The sequence below is a fragment of the Homo sapiens genome, chromosome 2, assembly GCF_000001405.40.
Source record: "Homo sapiens chromosome 2, GRCh38.p14 Primary Assembly".
Classification (NCBI taxonomy): domain Eukaryota; kingdom Metazoa; phylum Chordata; class Mammalia; order Primates; family Hominidae; genus Homo; species Homo sapiens.
Window position 1 is genome coordinate 202,926,748 of NC_000002.12, and position 14,615 is coordinate 202,941,362.

The window sequence follows — 14,615 nt, forward strand, 5'->3', positions numbered from 1 at the left end:
ATTCTTTAATTTCTCCTACCTAGGTTTTGTAGTTTACGATACATATATCTTGCATATCTCTTGTCAAGTTTATTCCTAAATTTTTATTTTTTTGAGACAGGGTCTTGCTCTGTCGCCCAGGTTGGAGGGCAGTGGTGCAATCATAGCTCACTGCAGCTCAGGCTCAGATGATCCTCCTACCTTAGCCTCTTGAGTAGCTGGGACTACAGGCATGCACCACCATGCCCAGCTAATTTTTATATTTTTTTGTAGAGATAAGGTTTCATCATGTTGCCCGTGGCTGGTCTCGAACTCCTGAGTTCAAGCAGTGTGCCCATCTCGGCTTCCCAAAGTGCTGGGATTACAGGCATGAGCCACAGTGCCTGGCTTATTTGTGCTTTTTTTTCTTTCTTTCTCTGGAGGCCTGTCCTTCCCTTTCTCTACAGAAAACCAGTTTGTGGCGTTGTTGACATCTGCATTATGTCTTTTTATTCTGTTTCATTGAATTACATCCTTTAATATGGCCTTCATTTTTATGTGCTCACATTTCTTAGTTTCTGGCTTTTCAAAATGGACACATAGTTCATTAATTCAGTCTTTTTTTTTTCCATAAAAGCAAGCTTTTAAAAATATTTTTAATTGACAAAAATTGTGTATATTGATGATATACAACATGATGTATGTATATATCCTGGATGGGTTAGAGCAGGCTAATTAACATATGTATTACTCATATACTTTTTTTGTGGTGAGAATATTTAAAATCTATTCTTGCAGCAGTTTTCAAGTATATAATGTGGGGTTTTTGGCTTTTTTTCTTTCATTATTTTTAATTGACACATAATTGTATAAGTTAATGGGGTATAGTGTGATATTTTGATACATGTATAAAACGTGTAATGATCAAATCAGGATAGTTAGCATATTCATCATCTCAAACATTTTTCATTTCTTTGTATTGGGACCATTCAAAATCTGCTCTTCTAGCTATTTGAAAATATACGATATATTGTTAATTATAGTCACCCTATAGTGCTATAGAACACTAGAACTTATTCCTCCTATCTAGCTGTCTTTTTTTTTTTTTTTTGAGACAGGGTCTCACTCTTGTCCCCTAGGCTGGAGTGCCAGCGGCGTGATCACAACTCCCTGCAGCCTTGATCTCCCAGGTTCAAGCAATCCTCACCTAAGCCTCCTGAGTAGCTAGGACTACGGGTGTACACCACCATGCCCAGTTAATTTTTTAATTACTATATTTGGTAGAGATGGGGTCTCACTATGTTGTCCAGGTTGCCTGGGGTCAAGCTTGACCTCCCAAAATGCTAGGATTACAGGCATGAGCAACCGCACTCTGTCCTAGCTGTACCTTTGTAACCATCAACCATTTGGCTGTTCCCTTCCCTACCCTACCCTTCCCCACCTCTAGTAACCATTATTCTACTCCCTACTTCTATGAAATCAACCTTTTAACTTTACACATGAGTGAGAACATGCAGTATTTGTCTTTCTGTGCCTGGCTTATTTCTCAAACATAATGTCCTCTAAGCCCATCTACGTTGCTGTGAATGACAGAATTTCATTTTTTTTAATGGCTAAATAGTATTCTATTGTGTATATATACCACATTTTCTTTACCAGTTTATCTGTTTACGGACACTTAGGTTGATTCCATATCTTGACCATTGTGGAATAATGATGTAATAAACATGGGAGTGCAGCTTTCTCCTTGACTTACTGATTTCCTTTCCTTTGGATATTTACCCATTAGTGGAATTGCTGGATCATATGGTAGTCTATTTTTAGTTTTTTGAGTAATCTCTATACTGTTTTTCATAATGGCTGTACTAATTTACACCAACAGTGTATGAGTTCCCTTTTCTCCAAATCCTTGCCAGCATTTGTTATTTTTTGTCTTTTTGATAATAGCCATTCTAACCGAGGTGAGATGATAGCTCATTGTGATTTTGATTTGTATTTACCCGATTCTTAGAGATTTTTTTTAAAGATATATACCCGTTGACCATTCGTATGTCTTCTTCGTCAGACAGGGTCTCATTCTATCGTCCAGGCTGGAGTGCAGTGGCTCAATCTCGGCTCACTGCAGCCTCAGTCTCCCGGGCTTAGGTGCGAGCAGCTAGGACCACAGGTCCGTGCCACCATCCCCGGCTAATTTTTTGTGTTTTTGTAGAGACAGGGTTTCACCATGTTGTCTAGGCTGGTCTCAAACTCCTGACCTCAGGCAGTCCTCCAGCCTCAGCCTCCCAAAATGTGGGGATTACAGGTGTGAGCCATCACGCCTGGCCTGTATATCTTCTTTTGAGAGATGTCTGTTCAGCTCATTTGTCCATTTCTAAATGAAATTATTTATTTATTAATCCCTCGTGGAATAGTTTGCAAATATTTTCTTCCACTCTGCAGGTTGTCTCTTCACTCTGTTGCTTGTTTAGTTTGCTGTACAAAAGCTTTTTAGTTTGATACAAATCCATTTGTCTATTTTTGCTTTTGAGGTCTTAGCCATAAAAATCTTTGCCTAGACCAATGTCCTGAAGCATTACCCCTGTGTTTTCTTCTGGTAGTTTTATAGTTCCAGGTCTCACATTTAAGTCTTTAATCCATTTTTAGTTGGTTTTTATATATGGTGAGAGCTAGGGGTCTACTTTCATTTTACTGCATACAGATATCCAGTTTTCCCAGGACCTTTTATCAAAGGGACTGTCCCTTCCCCAGTGAATATTCTTGGTACCTTTGTTGAAAATCAATTGGCTGTAAGTGCGTAGATTTTGTTTGTTTGTTTGTTTTCTATTCTCTTCCATTGGTGTGTCTGTTTTTATGCCAGTACTGTGATGTTTTGGTTATATAGCTTTGTAATATATTTTGAAGCCAGATAGTATGATGCTTCTAGCTTTGTTCTTTTTGCTTAGGATTGCTTTGGCTAGTCAAGGTCTTTTGTGGTTCCATACAAATTTTAAGGTTTTTGTTGTTTCTATTTGTGTGAAGACTATCATTGGGATTTCGGGGCTTTTGTTGTTGTTGTTGTTTTGTTTTTTTAAGAGATAGGGTCTTGCTACAGTACCCAGACTGGCCTTGGAATCCTGGGCTCAAGCAATCCTCCTGCCTCAGCCTTCTGAGTAGCTGGGACTATGGATGTGTGCCATTGTACCCAGCTCATTGGTATTTTTATAAGGATTGCAGTGAATCTGTTGATCGCCTTTGGTAGTATGGTCATTTTCACAATATTAATTATTCCACTCCATAAATGCGATGTCTTTCCATTTTTTGTGTGTGTTCTCCAATTTATTTCATTCAATGTGTGTGGGGGGTTTTGTTTTGTTTTGTTTTGAGACAGGGCCTCAATCTGTCGCCCAGGCTGGAGTGCAGTGGCTCGATCTCGGCTCACTCCAACCTCTGCCTCCTGGGCTCAAGCGATTCTCATGCCTTAGCCTCCTGAATAGCCGGAATTATAGTTGTGCATCACCATGTCTGCCTAATTTTTGTATTTTTAGTAGACACAGGGTTTCACCATGTTGGCCAGGCCTGTCTCAACTCCTGACCCCAAGTCATCCACCTGCCTTGGCTTTCCAAAGTGCTGGGATTACAGGCCTGAGCCACCACACCTGGCCTCGTTCAGTGTTTTACAGTATTTAATGGTATCCCATAATTCTTATAGACTTTCTTTGTTCATTTTCATCATTATTTCCTTCTTTTCTCTCTCTGGGTAATTTCAAATGACCTATGTCCAAGTTCAGAAATTCTCTCTGCTTGATCAAGTCTGCTAATTGAAGCTCTCTATTGTATTTATTTCATTCATTGAATTCTTCAGCAGCAGGATTTTTGTTTTGTTCTTTTTATTATTTGTATCTCTTTGTTGAATTTCTTGTTCATATTGTGAGTTGTTTTCCGACTTCATTGAATTATCTATTTGTATTTTCTTGTTTCTTGTTAAGTTTAAGACCATTGTTTTGAAAAATTTTTGGCAACTCGTAGCCTTTTTATCATTAGAATCTGTTACTAGAGTTACAACTCCCTTGATCAACATGGTTTTAAACTGCACAGGTCCTGTACTCAGGTTTTCTTTAGCCTCTACCATCCCTGAGACAGTGGGACCAACCCCTCCTCTTCTTCCTCTCCCTTAGCCTATTCAACTTATATTTAGATGATGAGGATGAATACCTTTATGATGATCCACTTCCCCTTAATGATTAGTAAATACATTTTCTCTTCCTTATGACTTTTTTTCTTTTCTTTTTTTTTTTTTTTTTTTTTTGGCAACGGAGTTTCACTCTTGTTGCCCAGGCTGGAGTGCAATGGTGCAGTCTCGGCTCACCACAACCTCCACCCCCTGATTCAAGCGATTCTCCTGCCTCAGCTTCCTTAGTAGCTGGGTTTACAGGCATGTGCCACCAAGCCCGGCTAATTTCATATTTTTAGTAGAGATGGGTTTCTCCATGTTGGCCAGGCTGGTCTCGAACTCTCGACCTTAGGTTATCCGCCTGCCTTGGCCTCCCAAAGTGCTGGGATTACAGGTGTGAGCCACTGCTCCCGGCCATGACTTTCTTCATAAACTTTTATTTAGCTAACTTAATTATAAGAATACAGTATATAATACATATAACATAAAACTATATGTTAATTGACTGTTTATGTTATTGGTAAGGCTTCCAGCCAATAGTAAGCTATTAGTAGTTAAGCCTTTGGGCAGTCAAAAGTTATACACACATTTTTGACCGTGTGAGCAGTTGGTGCCCCAATTCCTGCATTGTTTGAGGGTCAGCTGTATTATGTTCCTTTGGTAGCGTCATACTTCCTTGTGTTTCTGTGTCAATGTCTGTTTATTTGGTGGAACAATTGCCTTTTCTAAACTTTCTAGAGTAGCTTTGTAGAGAAAGACACTCACCTGCAGTTGGGTTTTATCATGCCAGTCAGGAAGGGTGTAGTGTCTGTTTGTGGATAGGTGCAGTGGTATAGTTTCCATGCAGCTTCTTCAGCTGCATTCAACGTCAGCAATAACTGGGTGCTCATTCTAATTTTAATTAATAACGTCACCAATAACTGGGTGCTCATTCTAATTTTCTCCCCAAAGGGAAGACTTAACCAAGATGTCAGGTCTGAATAGACTACAAGTAGCTACAGGAGCGCTGGGTTCCAGGTACTGGCACAGGGTCTGTATTAGTCTGTTCTTGCAGTGACATAAACAAATACTTGAGACTGGGTGATTTATAAAGAAAAGAGGTTTAATTGGTTCATGGTTCTGCAGGCTGTACAGGAAGCATTGTGGCTTCTACTGGGGAGGCGTCAGGAAGCTTCCAGTCATGGTGGAAGGCAAAGGGGGAACCAGCATTTCACATGGCAGGAGCAGGAGGAAGACAAAGAGTGGGGAAGTGCCACACACTTAAACAACGAGATCTCACTATCTCAAGGAGAGCTCTGGGCAGATGACGTTAAACCATGAGAAACCCCCACCATGATCCAATCACCTCCCACCAGGCCCCACCTCCAACATTGGGGGTTATAATTGAACATGAGATTTGGGTGGGGACACGGACCCAGACCATATCAGAGTCTCACAAACCTGTTATGGCACCTGAGTTTTGGGGTACAGGTTAGCACTCTGTGGCAGAGTTGGATGTAGATTGACCACAGAGCTAGGGTCTGTGACTCTCAGATACCCTCTAGCAGCTCAGGCCCAGGGAGCTAGGTTGTAGCTGTGATTCTACCTCTGAGAGGCAGGGCACAGAACTGGCCCAAGCCTAGGGGAACGGAGGGGGTACCCTGGAGGTTTGGGAGCAGGGTACAGCTACAGTTTGGGAACATGAGCCAATAGGGCTCGGTGGTAAGTCAAGTCCCAGGGGGATGAAGCACTGTGTAATAGTAACTGTAGTCCCTGGGAACTTGGCAGTATCTCAGACTCTGTGAGGCCAGTTGCAGCAGCAGCAGCAGCAGCAGCAGCAAGTGCCCCAGAATGGTGGAGTACAACTGTTGTTTAGGCCCTGGGGGTGTAGGGAACAGCATAGCAATGACTGCACTCCCTACGGAGAAGGGTGTCTTAGCAGCTCAGACTCTAGGGGGCTAGTCCAGCTCTGGGGAAGATGACTACTAGATAAGTTTGGTCTGTAGGGCAGAGTGTCTCAGCTCAACCACTGCTGTGTTTCCCTAGGACACAGGATACTGTCAGCTCAGCCCTGGGATGGGCAGCTGCTCAACTTGGCCACAGCACCAGTTCTCCAGGGGCCCATGTGCTGCTTCAGCTTAAGCCTGGGGGGCATGACTGTTCTGGGAGGCCCAGGCATCATTTCCTGGAATGTGGGTAGTTGCTTCACCTTATGCACTGGAGAGGCATGACTGCTCTGAGCAGCTAAGGTACTGTTTCCCTAGGAGGCAGGATACTGCTTCAGCTCTGGCCTGAGGGGGTGATAGGAGGGGTAGGTGGGGTGGCTCCACCTCTGCTTCCCCCGACCCCTGTACAGGGGTATAAGAGCTGTTTGCAGCTCAACTTGGGGATGTTGGGCCACTGGGCTAGTGTGATTCAGTCTTGGCTTAGCCTCAGGGATAAAGGGGAACTGTGGCTACTCAGCCCCAGAGCAAGACACACTCCAGCCGTAGTTCGGATTCCAAGATGACATAGCACAGTAGCTACATGAACTACAGTGCCTGGGACACAGTGTCGGTTTCTTCTCTCGGGGTAGCACAGCAGTGTGGACTCCAGAGAGCTTCCTCAGCTGGGCTTGGTGCCTGTGAAGACTGCAGGGAACCTCAGTGGTGAGGTCTATTGGTAGGGTTGGTTACTGGAATCCTCTTGCTTCCCTCCTTGCTGCAGGGAGTTCTTCCTGGTTCCTAGCTCTTCCCAGTTGGGGGATTGGGTGGTGGAGGCCGGATGCTTCCTTCCATTCTCTATGTGGCCATCCCGAGTTTCTGTGCTCGTCAATGCTCTCCCTCATTTATTTTTGTTAAAATGTAGTTGTTTATTCATTGTTTTGATTGTCTTTGTGGGGGAAATGAATGCTAGGGACTTCTAGTGGGCCATCTTGCTGATGTGACGTGACTACAGTATATTGCTATTAACTGTAGTCACTATGAACTTATTCCTCGTAATTGAAATTTTGTATCCTTTGACCACAGTCTGCTTTTCTTTTCTTTCCTTTCTTTTCTTTTCTTTTCTTTTTTTAAATTTACACACCACTATACAAACAGGGAACACAGCTTTCTTTCCTAATATGAGGGTTTAAAGAAGGAGTGTCCAATCTTTTGGCTTCCCTGGACCACATTGGAAAAAGATGGATTGTCTTGGGCCACACATAAAATACACTAATGTTAGCTGATGAGTTAAAAAAAATATCAAAAAAAAAATCTCATAATGTTTTAAGAAAGTTTATGAATTTGCGTTGGGCTGCATTTTAAGTCATCCTGAGTCACACCATGGGCCACAGGTTGGACAAGCTTAGTTTAAAGGCTATAAATTTCCCTTGAAATTTTATATTAGCTGTATTCACAAGTTTTGATACATGACATGTTCTTTATGGTTCAGATCTAGTATTTGCAGTTCCATGTGAATTTGAGAGGAACACACGTTCTTTAATTGTTTGGAATGAATTTTAAATATATCCAGTAATTCAAGCTTATTCTGTTTCCTTAACTTGGCTGAGATAATTATCATGAGGTCTTGCACTATGTAATACATTTGTCAATTTGGCTCTAAGTTCTATCCACTTTTTTAAAAGTTGGTTTTTCTTGTTGCTGTTTGATTGTTTTTTGAGACAAGGTCTTGCTTTGTCACCTAGGCTGGAGTGCAGTGCTATGATCACAGCTGACTGCAGTCTTAACCTCCCAGGATCAAGTGATCCTCCCACCTCAGCCATCTGATTACCTGGGACTGCAGGTGAGGGCCACCACACCTGGCTAATTTTTTGTGTGTGTAGAGACAGGGTTTCAACATGTTGTCCGGGCTCGTCTGGAATTCCTGGGATCAAGCAGTCTGCCTGCCTTGGCCTCCCAAAGTGCTAGAATTACAGGCATGAGCCACTGCACCTGGCCTAAAAGTTTTTAAAGGGAAATTTCAAAAATATACAGGAGTAGGCTGGGCAGTGACTCACATCTGTAATCCCAGCACTTTGGGAGGCCAAGGTGGGTAGATCATTTGAAGTCAGGAGTTCGATACCAGCCTGGCCAACATGGTGAAACCCCATCTCTACCAAACAGTACAAAAATTAGCTGGGCATGGTGGTGTGCGCCAGTAGTGCCAGTTACTTGGGAAGCTGAGGTGGGAGAATCGCTTGAACTGGAGAGGTAGAGGTTGCAGTGAGTGGAGATTGCGCCACTGCACCCCAGCCTGAGGGCCAGAGTGAGACCTTGTCTCAAAAAAAAAATACATATTATATATAATATATAATTATATATAATTATTTATAATTATATAATATAATTATAATATATACTCCTGTATATATTTAAATATAAATATAAATTTTATAAATATATAATATATAATATATTCATTTACTATACTAATATATATATTATATATTTGTATATTATATATTTATATATTAGAATAGTAGAATATTCTACTTATATATATTATATTTATATTTATATTTGTATATTTATATATATATATATATATTAGTAGAATAGTAAATGAAGCCAGTGTACAATTATCAGTGTATGACCAATCTTGTTTTATTTATTTCTCTATCAATTGTACCCTTTTCTCTGACTTTGGTATTTATTTACTTTCTTGAGACAAGGTCTCATTTTGTCACACAGGCTGGAGTGCAGTGGCACAATCACAGCTCCTGGGCTCAAGTGATCTCCTGCCTCAGCTTGCCGAGAAGCTGGGACTGCAGGCACACACCACCATGCCCAGCTAATTTTTTTGATCTTTAGTAGAAATAGGGTCTTGTTATGTTGCCCAGGCTAGTGTCAAACTCCTGGGTTCCGGTGATCCACCCACCTCTGCCTCACAGAGTGCTGGGATTACCCGCATGAGTCACCATGCTCAGCCTGACTTTGATATTTTTTAAACAAATCCTGGACATTCTAATAATTTTATCTATAAGTATTAATATTATCATACCATTCACATACCTAAAAACACCAAAAATACTTTCTTTAGGGACAGAGTCTCACTCTGTTGCACACGCTGAATTGCAGTGGTACAGTCACAGCTTACTGCAGCCTCAAACTCCTGGGCTCGTGCCATCCTCCCACCTCAGCCTCCCAAATAATTACGACTACAGACATGTGCCACCATACCCAGCTAATTTGTTTTTATTAAGTTTCTTGTAGAAATGGGATCTCAGGCTGGTCTTGAACTCCCATGCTGGTCTCAAATTCCTGTTCTCAAGTAATCCTCCCACCTCAGCCTCCCAAGTGTTAGGATTGTAAGTGTGAGCCACTGTATCCAGCCCCAAAATTCCTTTTTTTTCATGGAATGCCTGAACATCCCAAGAAAAATTCCTTAATATCAAATATCTAGTCCACGTTCATATTTTCCTGCTTGTGTATACACATGCATATATATGTACACACACATTGTGGTGGTACTATTTTACTTTTTTTAATTGAGGTGAAATTCATATAACTTAAAATTAATCCCTTTAAAATGAAGAATTTACTGACAGTTCATTCACAAAGTTGCAAAAGTGCCATGTAGAGCTTCAAAACATCTTCATCACCTCAAAATAAAATTTGGTACCCATTAGTCCATTATACCTTCCCTCAAGCCTCTGGCATCCACCAGTCTACTTTCTTTCTCTATGGATTTACCTATTTTGGATATTTTATGTAAATAGAATCATATAATATGTGACCTTTTGTGTGTGGCTTGGCTTCTGTCACTTAGCATAATGGGATTTTGTTTGTTTGTTTGTTTTTAGACAGGGTCTTGATCTATCTTTGGGCTCTACCTTTGCCCATTTTGTAATTGGGTTATTTTGGATTGTAGTCTTTGTTGTTGAATTGTATGAGTTCTTTACATATTCCAGACCCTTATCAGATACATGATTTGCAGATATTCTTTCCCATCTATGGGTTGTCTTTTAACTCTTGTCATGGTGACCTTTGTACAAAAATTTTTATTTTGATGGTGTCCAATTTATCTGTTTTCTCTTTTACTTGTCCTATTGGTGCCATATCTAAGAAACCATCACCAAATGCAAAGACATGAAGATTTACCCCTATGTTTTTCTTCTAAGAGTTGCATGGTTTTAGTTCTTATATTCAGCTCTTTGATCCATTTTTTATTTTTGGTATGTAATATGAGGTAGGAGTTCAACATCATTCGTTTTCATGTGGATATTCAGTTGTCCTGGCACCATTTGTTGAAGATAGTATTCTTTCCTCATCAAATGCTTTTGGCACCCTTGTCAAAAATAATTTAACCATAGGTATGTTATTTCTGGACTCTCGATTCTGTTGTATTTATTGCTCTAAATTTCCCTCTGAGCACTGCTTTTTTGCAGCCCATAGATTTTGATATATTGTGCATATTATCATTGCTATATTTTATAAATTGATATATTATCTATCATCACACCCTGTAGAGTTACATGCATTTTTTTTAGTTCTATAGTATTTTATTTCTGTCCTTAAAACACACATACAAAATTACAATATTGAGATTATTATTTTATACAGAGTGTTTATTTAGATTTTTATAGAGTTGTAATTTGTTTGCTTGCCATTTTTTCAAGCATCTCAGGACTTTTTTCTGCTATAATATTTGTTTTTTTGAAATATTTTTTTTTGCTAAAATAATGTGCTTTATTCAGTTACCTAACAGGTAAGAAATACAGAGGTAATTCCTGTACCAAATATTTTATATTTGGTGTATATTTTTTCTCTTCCCTTCTATAATGTGCTTGTATGGCATGACTTAACTGTTCCTTTTTTTTGTTATTTGTTTATTTATTATTTTTTTGAGACAGAGTCTTGCTCTTGTTGCCCAGGCTAGAGTGCAGTGGTGTGATCTTGGCTCATTACAACCTGCGTCTCTTGGGTTCAAATGATTCTCTTGCCCCAGCCTCCCAAGTAACTGGAATTATAGGCGTGCGCCACCACGCCTGGCTAGTTTTTATATTTTTAGTAGAGATGGGGTTTCACCATGTTGGCTAGGCTGGTCTCAAACTCCTGACCTCAGGTGATCCACCTGCCTCAGCCTCCCAAAGTGCAGGGATTATAGGTGTGAGCCGTTGCACCCAGCCAACTGTAAAAAAAAAAAAAAAATGTTTTAATTGTAGTAGTTGTAGATATTTATGGGGTACATGAAATGTTTTGATACTGACATGCAATGTATAATAATCATAGCATGTAAAATGGGGTATCCATCCCCTCAAGCATTTATCCATCCCTTCAAGCATTTATCCTTTGTGTTATAAACAATCCAATTATACTCTTTTAATTATTTTTAAATATAATTAAATTATTGACGGTAGTTACCCTGTTGTGCTATCAAATATGAAGTATGTTGTTTAGAAATTTCTTTCATATACGAGACATTGATTGTAAACTCTCAGTTTTTTGTTTTTATTTTTTATTATGATTCTTTTTGAGACGGAGTCTTGCCCTGTTGCCCAGGCTAGAGTGCCAAGGCACGATCTTGGCTTACTGCAACCTCCACTTCCCAGATTCAAGCAGTTTTCGTGCCTTAGTCACTTGAGGAGCTCTGGTTACAGGTATGCACCACAACACCCAGCTAATTTTTTTTATTTTTTTATTTTTTTTATTTTTAGCAGAGACAGGGTTTCGCCATGTTGGTCAGGATGGTCTTGAACTCCTGGCATCAAGTGATCCGCCTGCCTCGGCCTCCAAAAGTGTTGGGATTACAGGGTGAGCCACCGTGCCCAGCCAACTTTCAGTTTTTTTTTAATCTTAAAGTATCTTCCTTTCACTCTCTTTTCTGAAAAAAAATGGGGGGTTTTGTGGGGGGGTTTTTTTTGTTTTTTTTTTGTTTTTGGTTATTCTGAAGGTAAGACAGTGGAAAAAAATAGTTTGGATCATATACAATTGTTTATTGATAGTTACTTTTCTTTTTTTTCTTTTTTGAGATGGGGTTTCGCCATGTTGGCAGGCTGATCTCAAACTTGTGGGCTCAAGCGATCCACTCTCCTTGGCCTCCCAAAATGCTAGGATTACAGGCATGAGCCACCACACCCAGCCAATCTACTTTCTTAAAACCTTAAATACTATTCCTATGACTTCTGCTACCATGTTGCTATTAAGAAGGCCACTGTACGTCTAATTTCAATACTCTGTAGGGAGTCTGTCTTATCTCTCTTTCTTTAATTTGTATTTTTTGTTACCTAGGCTCAGGGGTGTTTTTATGGTCTGTCTTATCTGTCCAGCTGCATTTTGCTGTTCCTCTTTAGAATGTTGCACGTTCACTACATTGAGTATGGGTTTCTTTTTATTTCTCTTGGAATACTTAAAAGTAAGGCTTCGTTTATCTGTGGATTCATGTCTTTAGTTTTGAAAAATTGCCAGCCATTATCTCTTCAAATACAGATGATCCCTGACTTATATTAATTCAACTTATGATTTTCCACTTTATGATGGTGTGAAAATGATATATATTTAGTATACCCCTTAACCTATGATGGCGATGGCATTACATCTGGATAAACCCATTGTAAACTGAAAATACTGTAAGTCAAAAATGCACTTTCAACTTATAATAGTTTCCACTTAAGGTATTTTCAATGCACAGTGTGTTTATCGGGATAGTAACTCCATCATAAGTTTAAGAGCATCTATATTGTCTCTCCTCCATTTTCCCTTTTCTATTCTTTTGAGACTTATATGCATACTATACTTTCTATTTTTCTTATTTTTAAGTCTTTGTCATACATTTTATGTTCTGTTTTTGCTGTGATACAGTCTAGATAATTTAAAAATCTATCTTCCAATTTAATAATTATTTCTTCTGCATCTAATCATCTATTTAACTTACCCATTGCCTTTTTTTCTTTTTTTTTTTTTTTTTTTTTGAGACAGGGTCTCACTATGTCACCCAGGCTGGAGTGCAGTGGCATGATTATGGCTCACTGCGGCCTCAGACTCCTGAACTCAAGAGATCCTCCCACCTCAGCCTCCTGAGTAGCTGGGACTGCAGACCCACACCACCAGACATGGCTGATTGTTAAATTTTTTTGTAGAGACAGGATCTCATTATGTTGCCCAGGCTGGTCTCAGATTCCTGGTGTCAAGCAATCCTCTTGCCTTGGTCTCCCAAAGTGCTGGGATTACAGACATGAACCTCTGTTTCTGGCCCATTGACCTAGTTTCAGCAGTTTTTCATTGTTTCTTTGTTTGTTTGTTTGTTTGTTTGTTTTGAGACAAAGTCTTGCTCTGTCACCCAGGCTGGAGTGCAGTGGCGCCATCTCAGCTCACTGCAACCTCCACCTCCTGGGTTTAAGCAATTCTTCTGCCTCAGCCTCCCAAGTAGTGAGGATTACAGGCATGCATCACTGTGCCCAGCTAATTTTTGTATTTTTAGTAGAGACAGGGTTTCACCATGTTGGCCAGTCTGGTCTCAAACTCCTGACCACAAGCGATCCACCTACCTGGGCCTCCCAGAATGCTGAGATTACCAGCATGAGCCACTGTGCCCAGCCTGTTTTTTTAAAAAATTAAACTTTTGATAGTTTTTATTATTTGCTTATCTCTGTGGTTCATTTTTTTAGACATTGAATAATTATATTCAATCTTAGATGTTTCCAATATGGGGAGTCTTTAGGGGCTGTCTGAATCTGGTGACTCAATCTCATGGTGGCTAATTTCCTGTTTTTTTGGCATTCTTTGATTGTTAGCTTATATTTGATTGATCTTAATATGAAAGGATACTGGAGTCTTAATTGGGTTTGTTTTTCTCCAAATAGTAGCTGCATTTTTTTCTTACCAGAAGCCAGGTTACACTCTTCACCCAGAACCTTTCAGATTGTTATCCTTATCTTGGGAATTTTAAGTTTTCCTCCCCTACCAGCTATTTGTCCCAACTTCAGTTTCTTAGCCACAAAACTAATGTATTAGAACTACCCTTGGGGAAAGTTTCCTCTTTGTTTATGCTCAGCTCTTCTTTTTTTGATCTTTTGGAGTTGGGGGGAGGGGAGGGCGGTCACTGGAGTGGGGAATGGGCTTTGATTGTTGGCACTTCTTGTAGCAGAGCCTGGACACAAAATAAAGATTTTATTTTCGGTCAACTTTCTGTTTTTTGTTTTGTATGTTTTGTAGCAAGACAGTTTTTTTTACAGTATCTATTTGCCATATTGACACTAATGGGAGGCTCTTTTTATTTTGAAACTCCTTCTAAATAATTTTATTCTCAAATAATATAGGTATAATATATAAAATTCAAAAACCATCCAGAAAGTTATAAAATAAAATTGCTTTTACTTCTATAGCCCAAGGTAACTACAGGCTTTTTGGAATTTTTGCAATTGATTTTTTACTTGATTAGGATATAAGTGATAATTTAAAATCTTAAAAACGAGAAGCAATTAAAAGATATTTTGTAGCCATATATTAAAAATGGACTGATTTTGTAGCTTTACAAAATTGCCCCAATTGAGAACTACTGTAGTAGACCTAAGTGGCTCGGAGTTATTGGTATATATTTCTTCATTTTCTTTTTTAAAATATATCTT

The 14,615-nt window shown here is 39.6% G+C and overlaps 1 protein-coding gene across 20 annotated transcripts in view; it reads left to right on the forward strand.

Moving 5' to 3' along the window:
• Positions 1-14,615, forward strand: part of CARF (calcium responsive transcription factor) — a 75,989-nt gene that overhangs the window by 14,473 nt on the left and 46,901 nt on the right. The window lies entirely within an intron of this gene.